Source organism: Homo sapiens, chromosome 4, assembly GCF_000001405.40.
Source record: "Homo sapiens chromosome 4, GRCh38.p14 Primary Assembly".
Lineage (NCBI taxonomy): Eukaryota > Metazoa > Chordata > Mammalia > Primates > Hominidae > Homo > Homo sapiens.
In genome coordinates, this window is record NC_000004.12 from 25,119,159 (window position 1) to 25,140,136 (window position 20,978).

At 35.5% G+C, this 20,978-nt stretch overlaps 1 protein-coding gene across 6 annotated transcripts in view, besides 2 other annotated features; it reads right to left on the bottom strand.

Moving 5' to 3' along the window:
• Nucleotides 856-20,978, bottom strand: part of SEPSECS (Sep (O-phosphoserine) tRNA:Sec (selenocysteine) tRNA synthase) — a 40,569-nt gene continuing 20,446 nt past the window's right edge. For all 6 annotated transcript variants that reach the window (XM_047415762.1, NM_016955.4, XM_011513846.3 and 3 more), the window contains 3 exons: nt 8,106-8,199; nt 6,536-6,626; nt 856-5,067 (listed from right to left, as the gene is read on the bottom strand). In XM_047415762.1, the coding sequence (XP_047271718.1) occupies nt 4,773-5,067; nt 6,536-6,626; nt 8,106-8,199 (480 nt within the window). In that variant the 3' untranslated portion in view covers nt 856-4,772. The remainder of the gene's footprint in view (nt 5,068-6,535; nt 6,627-8,105; nt 8,200-20,978) is intronic.
• Nucleotides 12,395-12,921: an enhancer, noted in NCBI's record as "OCT4-NANOG-H3K27ac hESC enhancer chr4:25133175-25133701 (GRCh37/hg19 assembly coordinates)". NCBI's record gives its function as "activates a minimal SCP1, AML or CMV promoter by ChIP-STARR-seq in primed H9 embryonic stem cells {active_cell/tissue: H9 hESC(primed)}" and the evidence as "EXISTENCE:reporter gene assay evidence [ECO:0000049][PMID:30033119]".
• Nucleotides 12,922-13,448: an enhancer, noted in NCBI's record as "OCT4-NANOG-H3K27ac hESC enhancer chr4:25133702-25134228 (GRCh37/hg19 assembly coordinates)". NCBI's record gives its function as "activates a minimal SCP1, AML or CMV promoter by ChIP-STARR-seq in primed H9 embryonic stem cells {active_cell/tissue: H9 hESC(primed)}" and the evidence as "EXISTENCE:reporter gene assay evidence [ECO:0000049][PMID:30033119]".

The following is a 20,978-nucleotide window of genomic DNA, read 5'->3' on the forward strand; positions in this document are numbered from 1 at the left end:
ACCTGAAATTTCAGGTAATTAGTCAATGCACTTTAAATATGGGTTTAAAAAAATTCTCAAAAATGCAAAACAAAAGAAAATCCATAAAAGCCAAAATAGAAAAACCCTGAAAATAAAAAATAAAGGTCATCTAAAATCAACTGCATACTTTTAATTTCCACTGGCAAATGGACAAAATTCATTGATAACTCCCCCTCAAAAAAAGTTCCACTGAATAAACTACATAATACTGAATACATTTAAATTTAAATCTAGCACAACTTAGGACAGTATAGCTTTTTGCGGAGCATAATAGCAGTTATTAAAAGTAAGTACTCTATGCATAGATACCGAGTTAATCACGTTACCATACATTGTCTCATTTAATCTTCAATCCTATAAGGTTGTATCTATTTTATATTTGATGAGACTGAGATTCAAAGAGGCTGAATATGTGGCCTCACATGGTTAATAAGCACCAGTGCAGAGATCAAATTCCAAATCAAAGACCACTACCTGCAAACTTCAAATAGCACAATTTAGATGTGAAATCTAAAGGAGAAAGTGATATTAACCTATTTTCAAATAAAAGATAGTATTTCTTTTAGAAAAGATTAAATGCTTCTAAGTACTTTCTACAGTCAATAGATCCTTTGCAAAATGATTGCTGGAATATCGTCTCTTTCCTTTTTTTTTTGTTTTAATTTAGCCCCCAGCCATGACTCATGCTTCTCATTAAGGTATGACTTTTCTTGCTGATTTCTAGACAAGCTGATACTGATGACTGAATCAAAAATGGGCAAGTAATTTAGTTCAGTTATTTGTACTTTCAGATTTTATCTATCGTAATGATTAGGTAAAATAACGTACTGTCAGTGACTTATCAAAAATTTATTTCATATAATAAATTATATAATTTATTTTCATCTTTAAACAGTCTACACCGAAAACATTTTTGGAAACATCTTTTCCTTTTGGTAAAACAGGTTAGCAGGCTGACATCAGCTTCATATTCTCATGGCTAAAATCCCCCACGGTTATACAGTTAAGCATAGCCTTTCTTTGTATTTCTCAAGTTGACACCACTTGATAAAAAACAAAACAATATAAACATTTCTAGATTTTGCCTAAGGCCTTAGCTTTAACTGCAGAGTAGTGAGTAGGAAATTACAAACATATATTCATTAGCCTTAAACTTACCATCTTACATGCGCACATACCAAAAGGGCAAAAGGAAAGTAAAAAGTAAGGCACAAAAGGATGCAGTGAGTGTTAGGTCTGTTTACTAAGATTGGCCATAAGAGACATTAACCAACATAATATGACAGACAAGGAAAAAACTGACTAATAGAACCTTTTCTTAAAAAGCTGTTAATAGCATATTCAATTATTATCAAATTATTCAGGTTGTGAGACTTCTAAAATGACCAAATTTCTGTGTATGCAAAACTGGACTTTTTTCAGTTACAAAATAAGGTTGGCCTCAAAAATGCAAAACATAACAAAATCATTTAAGGGTCTGGCAGAGGTTAGTACATCTCAGAAAGTGGGAAAAGGAAACCCAACTCTTATATGCACCAAATGTGTATGTATTCCAAAAACTTTCTCCGAGTATGAGTCAGACTCACCAGAGCTTTATTATTGTTGTTTTCAGCTGTTGGTTATTTTCCTCTGTGAAATATAACTCTCAGGATGAACTACTAATTCAATATTAAAGTAACATCAGCAGTAAACACAAATTATCTGTTTAAATTTTACTAAAATCTATGGAAGCCATAGATGTAGTCTAAGCACATTCTGTAGCCCAGTCCTCAATAACAGTTCTTATTATGAGGTGGTTAAAGACACAGAACCACAGTGAAGTGCTGATCATAATATTAGAAAAATTTAATTTATATTTAAATTTACCATTCTGTATATCAAGTGCCTATTGGCTGAACAGAACTGTATTCAATAATTCATATTCTATAACTTCATTCAACTAATACAAAAAGCTAAATAGAAAGATTTACAGTTGAACACCAGGTTCCTAAGGCTGGCGTCACATATCATTCCCTGATAGAGCGAGAATTCATCAGCAGAGGACCTAAGAACCAAACTGCGAGTTTGATTTAAAATTCCCTTCCCTGCCATGTATAAGTAACACATTGTGTAGTGACCAAAAGAATATTCTATGTTCCACCATTTTCTTTTCTAAGCACACTGCCACAGCCCAATGACTTTAAAAACCTAACTCCAATATTTTACCTGATAGTTTTAATAAGGGTAGTTGGGTCAAAAAGATAGAAGAGGTTATCTTCGGCAATGATTGGTAATGTATCATCCACTGCCTTCGTCACAGTACAAAGATAACAAAGGCCAATTATGAGGCTTACCAATCAGTACTAGCGAATTATAATAAATACATCCTTTTTAATACTTATGTGTAGAAATGGGAGTGAGTGAAAATGACACTAGGGTGGGGACAAAGGAAAGCCTGAATAGACAGAACTCTTCAAAAACTCTTGTGAATTCTATGCCCTCAAATTTTAAGCCAGGAGGAATAGAGCTAGAATTCCAAAACCACTGAAAAAGAAAGGGTTAATAATAAAAACCACAGCTGATTTTCTGCATCAGGAATGAAATATTGTAACATATCTATCATTCACATGTGAGTTCATGTAATTTATGTTCAATTAGAATTATTATCTATTCAGCAGCTGAAGCCCAAGAACTGCTGATACACTGCAGATGAGAAAACATTTGCTACTCTCCCAGCTCTGGCCTTTCTTAAGCTAAATGATGATCACAACAATATAGATCACTTGTTCTATAAAACAATTTTGGCTTACATGTATAGCAAGCTGCACTGCCAGCATTTACATTTGCAACAACATTTCAATCCCTTTTTTGACTCTAGAGGTTGCAACTCTTCAGCTTTATTGGTTCAGCAATTTAGTCCCAAATTCTCATGAAAAATTTACACTTTTTAATCCAGCATTTATTCCCTTGAAATGAGTTACTACACCTATGTAAATTTTTTTAATGTTTGAACCCCAAAGATAAAATAAATACATTTTTAAATAACCTTCATGATATTCATAGTTAAATACTTCATCTCAAAATAGTCATTGACTTCCAAGGTGGTCAAGCCAGTGGCCATAGGCGTCTACCTTACACATGTCTGACCTCATGTTTACAAACAGTCTGGGACAATGTACAACGTCACCAAAATACCAGAAAATCCCTTTCTCATACATAGGTTACAATTCCAAATCAATAAGAAAAATGCAGCCCAGAAGGCAACACAGCATTCTCTACCATAGTGTTTTTAAAAGTATGTTCAATGGGCTGTTAACAAATATTTCACTTTAAAAAAATGAGTTTCTCTTTGGATAAGGATATATTAAAACTGGGTTATTTAGTGAAGGAATTCTTAGAGCCTTCAATATGCCAACAGGCAGGTTTGCAAAGGCAGCTCCCAAAATTATTTGTCTGTAAACATTTTCTCCCCATGAGCATCTTTTAGGAACATGATCCACAGAGCTGGGTTTGAGAAACATAGCTTTGGCATGGTGGCATGTTCAGAAGCTTCAGTAAATCTTCAGGCTATGACATCTCTATTTCTTAAAATAGTCTTAAGTAAGTCTATTTCTTAAATTAACAACAAAAATTATTGTTAAAGCCAGTAAGTCTGGAATTTCAGACTCAGAAAAATGAGCACATGGGCAAGTAGAGGGGAATACACCTGTTTATCATACTATGTGATTTTCATCTTCCTGGCAAAAATATGTTCAAAAATACCCATGTTAGCTAATTTTGATGATGTCTGTGCACAACATCTGAACAAACTAACCAATATATGCAGGCTGCTTAAAGCAAAAACAGTAAGTGGAATAATGTTTTCCCTTATCCAAAAGGAAAAATGCACCAGTGAGCACCATATAAAACAATTTATAATGACATGTTTGGAATCCGTGACCCTGGTTATCACTTAAGATTCTCTATATAGTATAGTTTGATGACATTTATACAGCTATCTTCTTTGAAGTACTACTGAAAGTTGCTATGGTAAACTTCTCTTTACTCAAGGAGTTTATCTACTTTAGAGGAGTATTTCTCAACCTCAGCACTAATGACATTTTGGGCTGGATAATTCTTTGTTGTGGGAGTTGTCCCATGCATTGTAGGATGTTGAGTAGCACCCTGGCCTCTATCCTCTAGATGTTAACAGCATCCCACCAGTTGTGACAACCAAAAATGTCTGCAGATGCTGTTCAGATAAGCGAATCATCCCCAGTTGAGACCCACTGCTTTTGAGTCAAAACGAAAGTTTATACCTTGACTCTGCTTCCTTGGGGAATGCCCATTTTACAGGCACACTGTGACTTACACATCTCAACAAACAACTAGTAACTAGTGGCCTAAGAGATCTTTCTCAATTCTGTGTGATCAGAAACGGTAAAGAATGGTTAGGAGGAAGCACTCTACATTTCAAAGAGAATTGAAGTAATTTTACTGTCATTACACTAGTAAAAATTATCTGAGTCATGATGCTTAATTGACAGATATTCTAACAATTAGAAAAATGCTAATTGTATATTATAACCTGTTAAGGATCACAAGGATTGATGCAGTCTAAGAATGGGAAACTTAACAATCATCAATGGCTAGTTCAGACCAAAGTCTGCTCCTTGACTGAATATTCCCATGAAATTCTCAATTCAAAAATCTCAAGTCTTATCTTTAAACTGCTTGCTTGTACTACAGCCTTATCATTTCTTTCAAATGATCAAGAAGAAACCCTTCGCATGTCATGAAGAAGCATCCTGGTATGTGTCAAGAAGTACATTATCTAGTTTTAAAGCCATTTCTTCAATATCCACATCTTCAGTTTTGTCATAATTGTCATCACTCTCTTTACTTCGTTCTTTTCTTACTGCCTTTAAACACCTGTCAAGTCTCTTTATGAACAGGTCCACATCCTGCATCTTCATTCCGATGGCTGATGCAGCATTGAGGTAAGCACAAGGGTAATTATTTGTATGTGACATAAAGCCTCTGAAAGTATAGCCACTCACAGTTTGCATGGACCCAAGAGGCACAACCCTGAAAGAAGAAAGATTTACCAATTTAATATGTCTGGTAATGGTAACACAATGTCACCCATAAACAAAAGATATGTGTTACAAAGCCTTACATCCACTTATTACGAAGTTTAAAACAGCCACAAATCATGGCCTACAAAAATAGACTGTATCGACTTTAAAATGAAATTCTATAATACACTGCTTTTTTACATAAAAAAGTCCTGCCTCGTGATTATCGTTTACTTAACTTCTATTAAAGACCTATAAGCTCTAGGAATCTCTTTTGATTTTATTTTTGCCAGTATCTTTTTCTCTTTACCTGAAGCTCTAGGAATCTTAAACACCTCTACATCTTCTTTAAAGAGGTAAAAAGAAAATGATTTGGTTTTGTGCCAAATCTGGAATATGACTTCATATATACACACTTTACTGAAATATTGAAATTTGCAAGTCAAACCACTGTAATTGTCATGTGTTACCTCAAATAATCAACAAACTAAAAGTCTAACTATCTGATCAGTGCTATACAATGGATAGTTTTAAAGCACAGATACAGAAGAAGTTATGTAACTGTTTATAGTGGGGTGGTAGTCAGCAAACAGTAATATTTAGCAAAGGCACCTGCATTTTTAAAGCTTGATTTCACTGGCATATTAGATATAAGCAGATTTCTAATAGTTTAATCGCTTAGCTTTTTGTTTTTTTCAAAGAAGTCAATTAGGCTCAACCTAAACACACAGACAAATAGTGGCAATACTAAAAGCAATGTCAAGAAAACCATTTTAGAAGTGTCAAAACTATATTGTATATAGATGAGTTCATCAAGGTAAAAAGTAAATTAATCTAAGATTTTACTTTTAAAAAGTTGTCCTGTGATATAAAATCTCTATCCTCCGGTAGCTACAGAAAAATTATTTAATAGAAGCATGTAAAGTATTTACAGCAAGATATTTCTTTTCAAGTCATTTTTCTCTGACCTCATCAAATCTAAAATGAAAAATCAGATTCATTTTTCAGGCCATGTATATAGAAGAGGAAAAAGTAAAATTTTCTGAGGCAGTTACATAGGCAAGGATTGCATACTCTTTTTTTTTAGTTTAGGAAGAAGGCTTTTCCTTAAGAACACTTTCACTTCAATTTAGTGATGAAGATGGCTTATCTCTAATACCATAATGTGACTTGCTGAAGATCATCTAACAAAGGAAATAAAGAAAAAAATCTATGTAGAGAGGTAATAAAACTTTGGTTCTGTACATCTATGAAAACAAACAAGATTCATGTCTTTTTGTGACTATTTCAGGCATAAGCAGTCCACAGGTGGGCATACAGTAGCCTTACAGATTCTCTAACTCATCATTCTTTACTCCATGATGAATTCGCAGGTATAGTTCAGGATATACTTGGGGGACTATTGTTGAGGAAAGGTATTTTACTGGAGTTAAGTTTGAAAAGACAAATAAACCCATATCTATCTTAAACATACTTACCTGGCTCCAGAAACCTGTCTGGTAAAAAGCATCGAGCCAAGCTGAGTGACAGCTTTGTCACGGTGTTCATCTAGTGTTTTAAGTGTCATAGCTGAAAAAGAAAAAAGTATCCTAATAAGCCTTGGTTTACTGGCATAAAAATCACTCAAATAATAACAATAATAATGATGAAGGCATTACTTTTTATTCATTGTCAAGTGGCACAATTTCACTTTAATGTACTTAATAAATCTTAGGGATTTGTTTATATATCAGACAAAAATATTTTAATGTAAATTAACATCTCCAAATACGAAACAGAATTTCCAATATCAGCCTTCAGGAGAGTAAATTTTTCCAACTAAATAGATGGAACAATAACATGATCAGTGTGGCTGTTTATTCAAATTCAACCAAGTTTTAAAAACTTGTAAAGTGAGGATGTGGGACATATTTCAGTACATATATAAAACTAAGTAAGATCAAATTCTGCATATAGAAATGGAAATGATCATTCTGAGGCTGTGTGGGTAAACTGGATTGCATACATAGCACCACTCGTAGCTACCATTTACTAAGGACTCGCCATGCTAGATGCTTCACAATCTCAACCAATCATTTAACAATTTTGCATGTGAGGGAAAAGGAGGTCAGAGGCTAGGACATGGAAGATTCGGAATTCAAGCTACACAATATCACCTTCTATAACATCTACATAGATCATAAATCAGCAAAGGACTAATTGGGGTGGTTTTTATTATATATTGGTGTTCAAATGGTATTCCACAGAAGCCCATTCCTAAAAAAGGCTTCAGCTACAAATGATTCACCTTCCTTACTTTCTTCAGATATATGTGAAATATGAAACATTATATTACATATATTCACAATTTAAAAGGGGGTAATTATGAAGCTTAAAAGATAATTAAGTTCATAAAAGTCAACATTCACATTATTGTTTTTAGTAGCCCCTACATTACATGATAAAAACACAGTCCTTATATATACAAATGAAAATATCATAAATACAAATTTCTCTAACATCCGTAGGCTAAAGAAAACAAGCAATAATGACATTAAAAACAACATAAGAAAAGATTTAATTTCTGATATGTTGGGGTTTTGTTAACTGGAGAAAGTTTTGTTTATTTGTTTAGTTTAAATAATAGAGACAAGGTTTCACTATGTTGTCCAGGCTGGTTTTGAGCTCCTGAGCTTAAGTGACCTCCTGCCTCAGCCTCCCAAAGTGCTAGGATTACAGGCGTGGGCCACCAAACCCGACCTGGAGAAAGATTTAATTATTTATAAATAGAGTTATGGTTAGAAACAGGACTTTAAGTATTATTTTCTGCATTTTTGTTATAATACTTAATATTGATTCTTATTCTCTCAGTGTATAGGCTTTATCTTAGAAATACATTAGAGCATTTCAAAAGCCTAACTAAACTTTTTCAATTTACAAATTAAAATACTGTGATGAATTTATAAATATCATTATAACTAGAAAGAGTTTTCTCTCCTTCTAGAAGTATCAGCTTCCTCCTAGAGTGGATCATAAGTATTTGTTTTTCTTTAGGAAAAAAGAAATTACCTAAAGATATGGGATTGTGAGGTGTATGCAACAGTCTTTCATTGTAGGCTTCTGACAACTTCTTTATTTGGTTGGACAAATATGAAAACATTTCCTGCAACAACAAAATGTCACATTTAAAACAAATCAAATATCTACTGCCAGATTTAATAAGACAAAAATCTGATTGGTATGAAGTCTACATTTTAAATTAACTCATCCATGTGCCTTAAGACCAATTCTCTCCTTTGCCACAATACAGTGAAATTCAAAGCTGCCACAACTATCAGAAGCCACAGGATTTCAGTAAAGGCAAAGAACCAGCACATTTTCTCCCTTCACTATTACATATCTATCACAAATCCATCTTCTTCTCAGAACTTCCAGACCTACCACTCTGGTCCTCGTAGCCATCAACCTCTTCCCTGGACACAGCAATAGATCCTAAATGATTTTTCTGCCTGTTCTCCACCCTTCTGTAATCTGTTCTACACTCAGAGACTAGAGAGGTCTTTCAAAAGCATACCAGTTCATGCTTCTCCCCTGATGACTTCCTCCAGTAACTATTAGAAAACCACACTCTTCATCTCTAAGGCCCCACATAATGTGACCCAGCCAATATACTCAACCTAGTGACTATCATTTCCCCTAGTCACTACACACCAGTCACATTAGCCTCCTTTCCAATCATTCTAGTGTTCAAACCTTTGTGCTTGCTTTCCCTGCATTTCCTAGATCATTCCCCAAGTGGTCCCTCTTGGCAAATGCTAAAGACACCTTCCTTTGTTAACTTTGCTATTAAAGTAGCTTTCCAACTCTGCCAATCTCCTTCCCAATCCCAGTCTCCTTCCAGCATATTACCTATTTTGGTTCCTTCACTATACTTGCCACAATCTGAAATTATCTCATGTATTTGCTTAAATGAATATTGCCTATTACTACCCATTACAAGGGAAAAACTCCTTGACCACAAGGACTTTGTCTTCTTCACCACCGTTGCCCCAACACCAAGAAAAATGTGCCAGACTTTAGTATGCAAGTTATTTAGGAAAAGGTAGTTTATAAATGTATTTCCTTTAAATCACACAACATTAAAGTGAACAATTCCCTTACTTCAATTAAAAGAATACAGCAACTCCCATAGTCCAAGCTTGAGCCCAGGAGTTCAACACCAGCCTGGGTAACATAACAAAAACAAAAACAAAAACAAAAACAAAAACAAAACAAAAAAAGGCAACTAAAACTAAAAATTGTCCCACTCTGAAAAATAAAATATATTCAATAGTAGAAAATATAATAAAAATGTATTTTACAAGTATCAAATGTCACATGTATATAAGTGGCAGTTTAACAGTTACAGGTAAATATGAAGTTGGCAACTATTTGACCTAAAATTTTACTTTCTTCTCCTCACAAGACCTTTAAAAAGTGTTGAAATCAGTATCTGCCCAACTACATCTGCAGCTAAACAAACCCATTTGCACTGAGCTCCTCTAATCACAGAAAAAACATATAAACTCTAAGGATACAACAAACAGCCAGGGGCTAACAGAGTACCCAAGCAGAGACAGCAAGAAATGACACTTCCCCAACCTCAAAGGCCAAGATACTCTCATCCCACACTGAGTCCCAGAGGAATTTTTTTCATGTCTGAAGCACACAGATGACTAACTCCATCTTTTGTTAGGTAAAGATTAAGAGGAAAATTCCTACTAGGTTTATGAATTATTAATGAGTCTACTTAAGACCACAAACATTTTCACTTCTGTCAACCCAGTACACATATTTTATATTCTCACCTAAAAATTTTTGAATAATCATTTTTAAATTTTAGGATACTTCATAAAATTAATTCTCAGAATGTTGGAATTACAAAAATCTTAGATCACTAAAATAAATTCATTCCTTTTATATTCAAAAAGTTAACATCTACTATGGCCATACCTAATGAAGCTATTAATAAATGTTACTGCTACATGTGATAAGCCTTTCTCTTTCGTTATTTAAAGTATAGAGAAATATTTAAGGAGACAAATGTCATTATCATTTCCAGAAACAAAAAAAAAGCATCTTTTCTTAGACATATAAAAATATCCTGGGCCAAGCATGGTGGCTCACGCCTGTAATCCCAGCATTTTTGGGAGGCTGAGGCAGGTGGATCACCTGAGGTCAGGAGTTCGAGACCAGCCTGGCCAACATGGTGAAACCCCTTATCTACTGAAAATACAAAATTAGCCAGGCATGGTGGTGTGAGCCTGTAATCCCAGCTACTCAGAGGCTGAGGCATGAGATTCACTTGAGCCTGGGAGGCAGAGGTTGCAGTGAGCCAAGATTGTGCCAGTTTCACCACGCTGGTCAGGCTGGTCTCAAACTCCTGACCTCAGGTGATCCACCCGCCTCGGCCTCCCAAAGTGCTGGGATTACACCTGGCCCTGGTCCCTCTTTCTTAACCCAATATTCCCATACTACGAAAGGTGAAACAATAAGATAATCAAATGGAACAAATCAACAGTTTTTCCAGCAATTAGAACAACTCATAATTTTTTAGTAACACACCAGGGTTAATAAAGAGGAGGATTCCTGGGTTTCATCCATATATTTTCATCTCCTATAAAGTAATTAGGTTACTAATTTAAATGCTCTGTTTGTTTTTAAAGCAGTCACATATTTTCATTTAGATATTAAATGCTGATTTTTCTTCACTTATATAATTCACCAAAGTCTTAACTGGCCTCTGCCTTTCCAATTTACTCTGAAATTCATCAACCTCCCATAGGCAGAAACAAATCTCACAGGCAGGAAATGCCTTTTACAGAGCCCTACCTCCTACAAACCGCCTAACAACAACATAACCCACATCCATCCTTCATTTATCCTCAAGCATATATTCATGAAGCAAAATTTTCTCCAGTTTACATATTTCAGTGGTGAAGACAATTTAAAATATTATTCTATCTACTTTGGCAGCCACATTAAATGCCAATGTGGTCACATTTGTGAATAAGCTGAACCTGATGAGTACTTAATTTGTACTCAGGTTAGCTATTTCTGAAAAAAGAGAAAATGTTTCCTAAATAACACCCCTGGAGGGTGCTTTTAAACTTACTGATGCATACATGGCTATTAAAAAGTGAATTTGCCCAATGTTCAACTTCTAATACTTTAACAAATTAGTTTTTACCAGTTCTATCAATCACTTGCTAATGCCACTAGAATTCCTTTTGAACTGTAGGTAATATTAGGATAGTATTTTTAGACTACGAGGATAACACTAAAGTAATTAAATCTCGTATCACTAGTACGGGAGTAATTAGATTTAAAAAAATTTGAAGCAAGTTCACATCCATCAACAAATATTTACAATATGTTTACTCTGTGTAAAGGGTTATAAGTAAACCAATAAGCAAATATGTTTTAAATATCTTAAAGCACAATAGGCTGAATTCTATAATATTCCACATGTTAAGCTCCTAAATGCTCTCCTATTAATATTACTACATTTTAAAAATATCGTTTAGGAGACTATACCACTATCCTACACTAATACTTAGCTAAGCAGTTTTTTACCTGATATATTAAAGCTACTACCGAACCTGTACTATTTTTTGCTACAGTTAAATCTATAACTGGCATTTATTATAAAATACTTCTGTAAAGAAAGAAATTTATAAGCAACCCAAGCAAATGTATATAGAAAGATCTTACTTAAAAGAAATGAAATATTATTGATTTTCCATGTTCTCTGTGCTGTATTTAACTTAATTTTAAGAGACTTTTCACTAGAGATAAACTGAACTGTATACCTGAATGCTAATGTCAGCTATATTTCTAGAATAAAAATACAAAACTTTACACCACAGTTCAAGATGTTAATGGAAGAGAAGTTGAATTATATTAAGCATTATCTTTCATATGGCCTTTTGCAAATTGATTTGTAGTCATGAAATCCGACATCTAGCCCGTCTCTCCCAGAATCCAAAGATGTGCATAATTCACTAAATTTTATGTGAAACGGTCTTATGTAATCACACCTTTGGAAACATACTGTTTCATGTTATAGGATAAAATAAAAATGGAACCTCACATATTATTACAATATGTTTCAGAAGGCAGGTAATAAACCAAAAGAAACATACCCAGTAGTCTACTATTTCAAAGATAACATGAATGGATGGATGGATGACCGAGAGTAGGTAAATATTGAAGCAGACAGATGTCCATATTGGAGGAAAACAGTACTAAATATGACATGCTGCTGTCTATGACTGTGGCCACCTAAAAGGATCCAGGAGCAAGTGGCGAATCTTGCCTCAGAGGCTACACCCATCTGCATTCAAGTTGTTAAGGCCCCATATGTAGGCTTGAAATCAGATGCTTCTGCAGAGATTCAACTACTCCACTTACAGGGCTGCAAATCTAGTAGTGTTTTCAAACTTAGCTCTGCTATAAGGACACTGAAGTGTATGATGTTCTTTTAAAACTTAGTTTGTCCCCCAGTTCTTAGCTCACAAATTCCAGCCACTGAGCAGCCATAGTGCTGTTATTCTTCTTATCCAATTCAGCAGATATTTGCAACAATAAATGATTACCTGCCTTCCCTGTTCAGCAAAGCACTTTTCTAAAAGGAAAGCTAAACAGAATAATGATCTTCTCCAGAAGCAAAACAGAAGTGAGGATAAACTTCTAAGACCATAGACTTTCTTTCTGCATAGACAAACTAAAAGATACAGTCTTACATTTTCACCTCTTTTTTAAAAGGGGTTAAATTCATGGTTATTTCTCCCCTCAATGAAGCAAATGTGTTGATCAGGAAGGGGATAAGGGCAAAGAGGCTCAATTCACACACAGAGCTCCACTCTCTCTGATCCTTTCACCCTTCAAAAAAGAAAGCTTAAGAAGGAATGGCTTCAAGCTGAGTTCTTGTCTGCCACTACTGTGAAAAAGATAAAGCCTTTTCTGAAGAGATAGAGCTAGATGAAATAACCTCTAAAAATATCATTGTGGTGAATAAGGGCATAGAATGAAAAAAATTCTAAGTTTTCTTCTAACATTCCTTTTTTTAGTACACAATAACACCAATAATATAAAAAGGAGCTCTCAGTGATGGTATATAAATAGCTCTGGCTGGAGCAAAATAGCTTTGCCTCAGCTTCTCCAGAGCTGAACCAATAAACTATCACAATTAAATTTTCACAGTTCAAAAGCAAGTCCATTTAAACAAAAGAGGCCCTTATTTCTGCAACAAATCCAATAAAAAAACAATATTTATGCTACATATATGCAATTATGGTTTATGGAGGACATCCACATTTTTCAACAGAGAAACCTGCCTACTAAATGAAGTTGTTAAAAAAGCAAACTTTAACTTACAGTGACAGAGTTCTCAAATGGGCATCGTAATACTTTGAAAATTACTCCTAGAGATATTCTCTCTTATAAATTCTATACAGAGAATTTTAAATAAAACCAATTAGTACATTAGAGAGCTTTTGGGGTTTTACATACCTCCACTAGAGTGGGAGGGTCACAAGATCATCATCTTTATGGCTCAAATGCCTAGCACAGGGCCAGTGATCACTCCCTCAACAACGGATGAGTGACTGGAAGCAGTGACAAGAAAGTGGTAAGACGGAAAGCGCACAGACTTTAGCATCACACAGACCTGGGTTTCAATGGCAATTCTGGTACTTATAAGTGGTACTTGGGCGAGTACTTAACTCCTCTGGGCCTCAATTTTATCTGCAAAATGGGGATAATTCCTACCTCATACACTTGCTCTGGGTATTACAGGAAATAATAAGTACAATGAATCTAGCACAGTTCCTGGCATACAGCAGAGACATTCATAAAAATGTTAGCTCCCCACCCACCTATTTTTCCCCTAGCCTAAAAGAGTTCTCAGGATTAAAAAAAACTAAAGTTAGCTAGCAGGACTCCTACAGACACATGATAATACACTGTAGCTATAATCCTGTTCTTGTCCTGTTCCTGTTTATTCTACTCTACTCTATATATCTAGATAAAAGGAAAAGAACAAAGTTCTGAATGTTACAAAGAGAGTTACCTCCTGACATCTGAGATGAAGGCATCCAATTCATGAATACTACTCCAACATAAAATTTCTCCCATAAAGTGTTTACCCAGTGATAATAAAGAACAAAGTCCCAATGAAACTGAGCTGCCTGCTGGATTCATTTACTAGCTGAGCTACATATTCCTGCAGGTCATTTCCAAAGGAGATGGATTTTCACTCATGCTAAGCAAAATGTACACATGCATGGGCCTTTGGAATCAATCATCTACAAGTAGTCAAAAATCTTAAAGTCAAAATCCTAAATGTCACAAGACAGAACATCAAGACATAACAGAAATTCCAAAAAGATGACAAAATCCCTAAAATCAACAATTCCAAAATCTTAAGGCTAGAAAAGTGCTTCTGCTAGGCAGGAAGTACAATGCCTGTTATATACAACAGGTAATCTCCATTCCTTTTCACAAGTTTTTGACTATATCCATATAGTTGAATATTTAGAGAAATGTTTCTATAAGAACATAGAAATATACAGTAGATTATTCCCTTAAAAAAAAAAGGCTTGGTGCAGTAGCTTATGCCTGTATCCCAGCACTCTGGGAGGCTGAGGCAAGAGGATTGCTTGAGCTCAGGAGTTCGAGACCAAACTGGGCAACATGGCAAAACCCTGTCTCTACAAAAAGTAAAAAAAAATAAAAATTTAGACTGGCATGGCGGCATGCACCTGTGGACACCAGTTACTCAGGAGGCTGAGGTGGGAGGATCACCTGAACCCAGAGAGGTCAAGGCTGCAGTGAGCCATGATCATGACACTACACTCCAGCCTGGGTGACAGAATGAGACCCCATCTCAAAAAAAAAAAAAAAAAAAAAAAAAAAGTGCATAGAATTCACAATGGAAATCGGTATCAAAATATTATGTGCAACTGGACACAGAGGTACATGCCTATAGTCTTAGCTACTTGGGAGGCTGAGGTGGGAGGACTGCTTGAGCTCAGGAGTTCAAGCCCAGCCTGAGCAGCATAGCAAGACCCCATATCTTTAAAAATGTGTGTGTGTGTGTGTGTGTGTGTGTGTGTGTATAAAATTTGCTTTCTGACTAATTTTCCAGAAAGACACTTATTCTATATAAAATATGAGATGATTATACAACATTTGATCCAGGTGTTCTTAAATACCCTGTGTTCATACATTCAACAAACATATGATGAGCATCTACTATATATCAAGTAAGGGATGCTAAGAATAGAGGGATGGATGGCAAATTCCAAGGGGGCATTATTCTACCAAAGTACTCATAATTAAGGACCAAGTTTCATTTCAGACACATAATAGTAATTTTTTAGAAGAGTACACTCAAACTCTCAGTTTAATTTGCTAATTAAATAAGTTTAACTACAAAATTACTCAAGACTTACATTAGTTTATTGTAGTAAATATGGCATATTATTATTTTTATTTATGGTTTCGAAGTCAAGAACAAAAGCAAGAAATACTAAATAACATGCTTATTTGGCATTATAATGGCAGCATATAGAAATCTTAAAAGTGTCACCCCTCAGCAAATGCAAAAGAACTGAAATCATAACAGTCTCTCAGACCACAACACAACTAAATTATAACTCAAGGTTAAGAAACTCACTCAAAACCACACAACTGAAACTGAACAACCTGTTCCTGAATGACTCCTGGGTAAATAACGAAATTAAGGCAGAAATAAAGAAGTTCTTTGAAACTAATGAGAACAAAGAGATAACATACTGGAATCTCTGGGATACAGCTAAAGCAGTGTTAAAAGGGAAATTTATAGCACTAAATGCTCACATCAAAAAGCCAGAAAGATCCCAAATTGACATTCTAACATCAACTAAAAGAAGTAGACAACCAAGAGCAAACAAATCCCAAAGCTAGCAGAAGACAAGAAACAACCAAGATCACAGTGGAACTGAAGGAGACAGAGACACGAAAAACCGTTAAAAAAAAAAAAAAGTCAACGAATCCAGGAGTGGGTTTTTTTAAAAAATTAATAAAAAATAGGTAGATTGTTAGCTAGACTAATAAGAAAAGAGAGAAGAATCAAATAGACACAACAAAAATGATAAACGGGGTATCACCACTGACCCACAGAAATACAAACAACTATCAGAGAATACTATAAACACCACTATGAAAATAAACTAGAAAATGTAGAAGAAATGGATAAATTCCTGCGTATATACACCCTCCCAAGACTGAACCAGGAAGAAGTTGAGTCCCTGAATAGACCAATAACAAGTTCTGAAATTGAGGCAGTAATTAATAGCCTACCAACCAAAAAAAGCCCAGGACCAGACAGATTTACAGCTGAATTCTACCAGAGGTACAAAGAGAAGCTTCTGAAACTATTCCAAACAATTGAAAAGGAGGGACTCCTCCTTAACTCATTTTATGAGGCCAGCATCATCCTGATATCAAAACCTGGCAGAAATTTTAAAAAAAAAACTTCAGGCCAATATCCCTGATGAATATCGACGCAAAAATCCTGAATAAATTCCTGGCAAACCAGAAGCACATCCAGCAGCACATCAAAAAGCTTATCCACCATGACTCAGTAGGCTTCAACCCCAGGATGCAAGGCTGGTTCAACACACGCAAATCAATAAATGTAATTCATCAGATAAAGAGAACTAAAGACAAAAACCACATGATTATCTCAATAGATGCAGAAAATACCTTTGGTAAAATTCAACATTCCTTCATGTTAAAAACTCTCAATAAATTAGGTATTGAAGGAACATATCTCAAAATAATAATAGCCATTTATGACAAACCCACAGCCAATATCATACTGAATGGGCAAAAGCTGGAAGCATTCCCCTTGAAAACCAGCTCAAGACAAGGATGCCCTCTCTCACCACTCTTATTCAACATACCATTGGAAGTTCTGGCCAGGCCAATCAGGCAAGAGAAAGAAATAAAGGGTATTCAAATGGGAAGAGAGGAAGTCAAACTGTCTCTGGTTGCAGATGACATGATACTGTAGCTAGAAAACCCCATTGTCTCAGCCCAAAAGTTTCTTAAGCTGATAAGCAACTTCAGCAAAGTCTCAGAATATAAAATCAATGTGCAAAAATCACAAGCATTCCTATACAACAACAAACAAGCAGAGAGCCAAATCATTCATGATTTGGCTCTCACAATTCACATTCACAATTACTGCAAAGAAAATAAAATACCTAGAAATACAGCTAACTAGGGAAGTGAAGGAACTCTTCAAGGGAAACTACAAACCACTGCTCAAGGAAATTAGAGAGGACACAAACAAATGTAAAAACATTCCATATTATGGATAGGAAGAACCACTATCATGAAAATGGCCACACTGCCCAAAGAAATTTATAGAGTCAATGTTATTTTCATCAAACTACCGTTGACATTCTTCATAGAATTAGAAAAAAACTATTTAAAAATTCACATGGAACCAAAAAAGAGTCTGTATAGCCAAGACAATCCTAAGCAAAAAGAAAAAAGCTGGAGACATCATGCTACCCAACTTCAAACTATACTACAGGGCTACAGTAACCAAAACAGCATGGTACTGGTACAAAAACAGACACATAGGCCAACGAAACAGAATAGATAACTCAGAAATAAGACCACACATCTACAACCATCTGATCTTTGGCAAACCTGACAAAAACAAGCAACGGGGAAAGGATTCTCTATTTAATAAATGGTGCTGGGAAAACTGGCTAGCCATATGCAGAAACTTGAAACTGAACCCCTTCCTTACACCTTAGACAAAAATTAACTCAAGATGGATTAAAGACTTAAATGTAAACCCCCAAATTATAAAAACCCTAGAAGAAAATCTAGGCAATACCATACAGGACACTGGCACAGGCAAAGATTTCATGATGAAAATGTCAAAAGCAATTGCAACAAAAGCAAACATTAACAAATGTGATCTAATTAAACTAAAGAGCTCCTGCACAGCAAAAGAAACTATCATCAGAGTGAACTGACAACCTGCAGAATGGGAAAAAATTTTTGCAACTTACCCTTCTGACAAAGGTCTAATATCCAGTCTACAATGAACGTAAACAAATTTACAAGAAAAAAAATCAAACAACCCCATAAAAAAGTGGGCAAAGGACACGAACAGCCACTTCTCAAAAGAAGACATCCATACAACCAACAAACATATGAAGAAAAGCTCAACATCACTGATCATGAGAGAAATGCAAATCAAAACCACAATGAGATACCATCTCATGCCAGTCATAATGGTGATTATTAAAAAGTCAAGAAACAACAGATGCTGGCAAGGTTGCAGAGAAATAGGAACACTTTTACACTGTTGGTGGAAATGTAAATTAGTTCAACCATTTTGGAAAACAGTGTGGGGATTCCTCAAGATCTAGAACCAGAAATGCCATTCGACCCAGCAATCCCATTACTGGATATATATCCAAAGGAATATAAATTATTCTATTATAAAGATACATGCACATGTATGTTCAATGCAGCACTATTCACAACAGCAAAGACATGGAATCAACCCAAACACTCATCAATGATAGACTGGATAAAGAAAATGTGGCACATCTACACCATGGAATACTATGCAGCCTTAAAAAGAAATGACATCATGTCCTTTGCACGGACATGGATGGAGCTGGAAGACTATCCTCAGCAAACTAAAGCAGGAACAGAAAACCAAATACCGCATCGTCTCACTCTAAGTGGGAGCTGAACAATGAGAACGCACAAACACAGGGAGGGGAACACCACACAATGGGGCCTGTCAGAGGGGTGCAGGGGGAGGGAGAGCATCAGAAAAAATAGCTAATGCGTGCTGGGCTTAATACTTAGGTGATGGGTTGACAGGTGCAGCAAACCACCATGGCACACGTTTACCTATGTAACAAACCTGCACATCCTGTACATGTACCCCAGAACCTAAAATAATATTTTTTTAGTCTTAAAAGTTACTATCTATATAATAAAGTATACTTTTAAAATGACTTATAATTTTGTATAATGGTCTTATTGTTAGTTATAATATATTCCATTTATTTAGTTTAAAAATAAACTTAGGCTCATGCCTGTAATCCCAACACTTTGGGAGGCCAAGGCAGGAGAATGGCTTGAGTCCAGGAGTTCAAGACCAGCCTAGGCAACATAGCAAGACCCTATCTCTATTTAAAAATAAAATTAAATAAATAAATAAAATAAATTTATGATTTTAGCCAAATCTGAGGAGTGCTCAATATAAAACAAAAAGCAGCTAAGAAAAAAGAAAAAAAAATCTAAGAAAAAAGACTACAAAAGATCAGAAATAAACACAGATAACTAATGTTATATTTCGAAGTTTTGATATTTGGGATATTTATGCATTTCATCTCAAATGCCATAAAATATTATCTACCTATGTATAAGTGTTAAAATGCTATGACATTGTATGTTTCCTCTCCAAGTTTCTGTTATATATACAAGTGACCTATGTGCCCCAAAACAAGGGCTATCAAACATGAATCTGCACCAAAATTCATCAGGAAAATTTTGTTAAAAATGCAGTTGTCTAAGCCCTCCTTCTGATCTAATGAATCTGAATCTACCCTAAAGGAAAGCTAATTTTATAAAGTGACTCAAAACATAAACTCTCAAATAACTGCACAGTACTTTGCTTTCTAGACTCAGCTTAAAACACCCTTTCATAGTTCCACAGTTGTACTAGCCATCAGTATTACCTTAGGACCACACCACGAATGTCAATGAATAAATGCACTGTCTTTTCTCCAGGGAGATTTTACCTGACCCTTCCAGATCTGGGGTAGGTGTCCCAGCTGGGTTTGGTAATAGATGCTCTCACACACTCTTGCGTTCCTTTCATAATTCTCATCAGATTTGTAACTATTTAATATCTAGATTTCCTCCAAAAACTATAATTTCCATGGAGGTAAAAACTAAGTCAGTCTTGTTTGTGGATTTAGCTTTAGGGCCTACACATAAATATTTGTTTGAATGAATAAATGAATGAGCAGGGGCCAATACTATTTTTAAAGGAGTTTGAACTTTGTCTTGTAGGCAACCAGAACCCAAAGCAAAACAACTTGAAGAAAGTTGTGTCTTTTTTTTTTTTTTTTTTTTTGAGATGGAGTCTCACTCTGTCACCAGGCTGGAGTGCAGTGGTGCAATCTCAGCTCACTGCAACTTCCGCCTCCTGGGTTCAAGTGATTCTCTGCCTCAGCCTCCCAAGTAGCTGGGACTACAGGTGTGTGCCACCACACCCAGCTACTTTTTGTATTTTTAGTAAAGACAGGGTTTCACCATCTTGGCCAGGATGGTCTCAATCTCTTGACCTCGTGATCTGCCCACCTTGGCCTCTGAAAGTTGTGTCTTTAGAATATTAACCTGGCACTGCTCTACAATGTGACAAATTAGAGTAGACCAAGGTGGGGGAACAGGAGAAGTGTGAATAAATTACTGTAACCATGAGGTGTGATGTGGTAAGGACTTAAATTAGGGAGTGATAGCAGTGGAAATGGAAAGAAATGAATGTTGGAAACATTGTGAAGGACTTAATGATATAAGGGCTTAAGGGTATAAAAGGAATCAAAAGTATCAGCATTAGAAAGTTTAAAACAGAGATGGGAATTTACTGCTTCATCTCACAGCCCAGTCCACAAGCAGGCATGGCTGGATAGAGTCTCAAATGACTTAATTCTGTTTTTCTTCTTATAGTCCCTAGTGTTGAGAAGTCTCTCTTGGCATGGCTAGAAATACGGCAGCTGACAGTTGTAAGATTATATCCTTACAGCTTACTATCTGCAAAGCAAGAGGTCCTGTCTCTAAAGGATCAATCAAATCTACTGGAAGGAC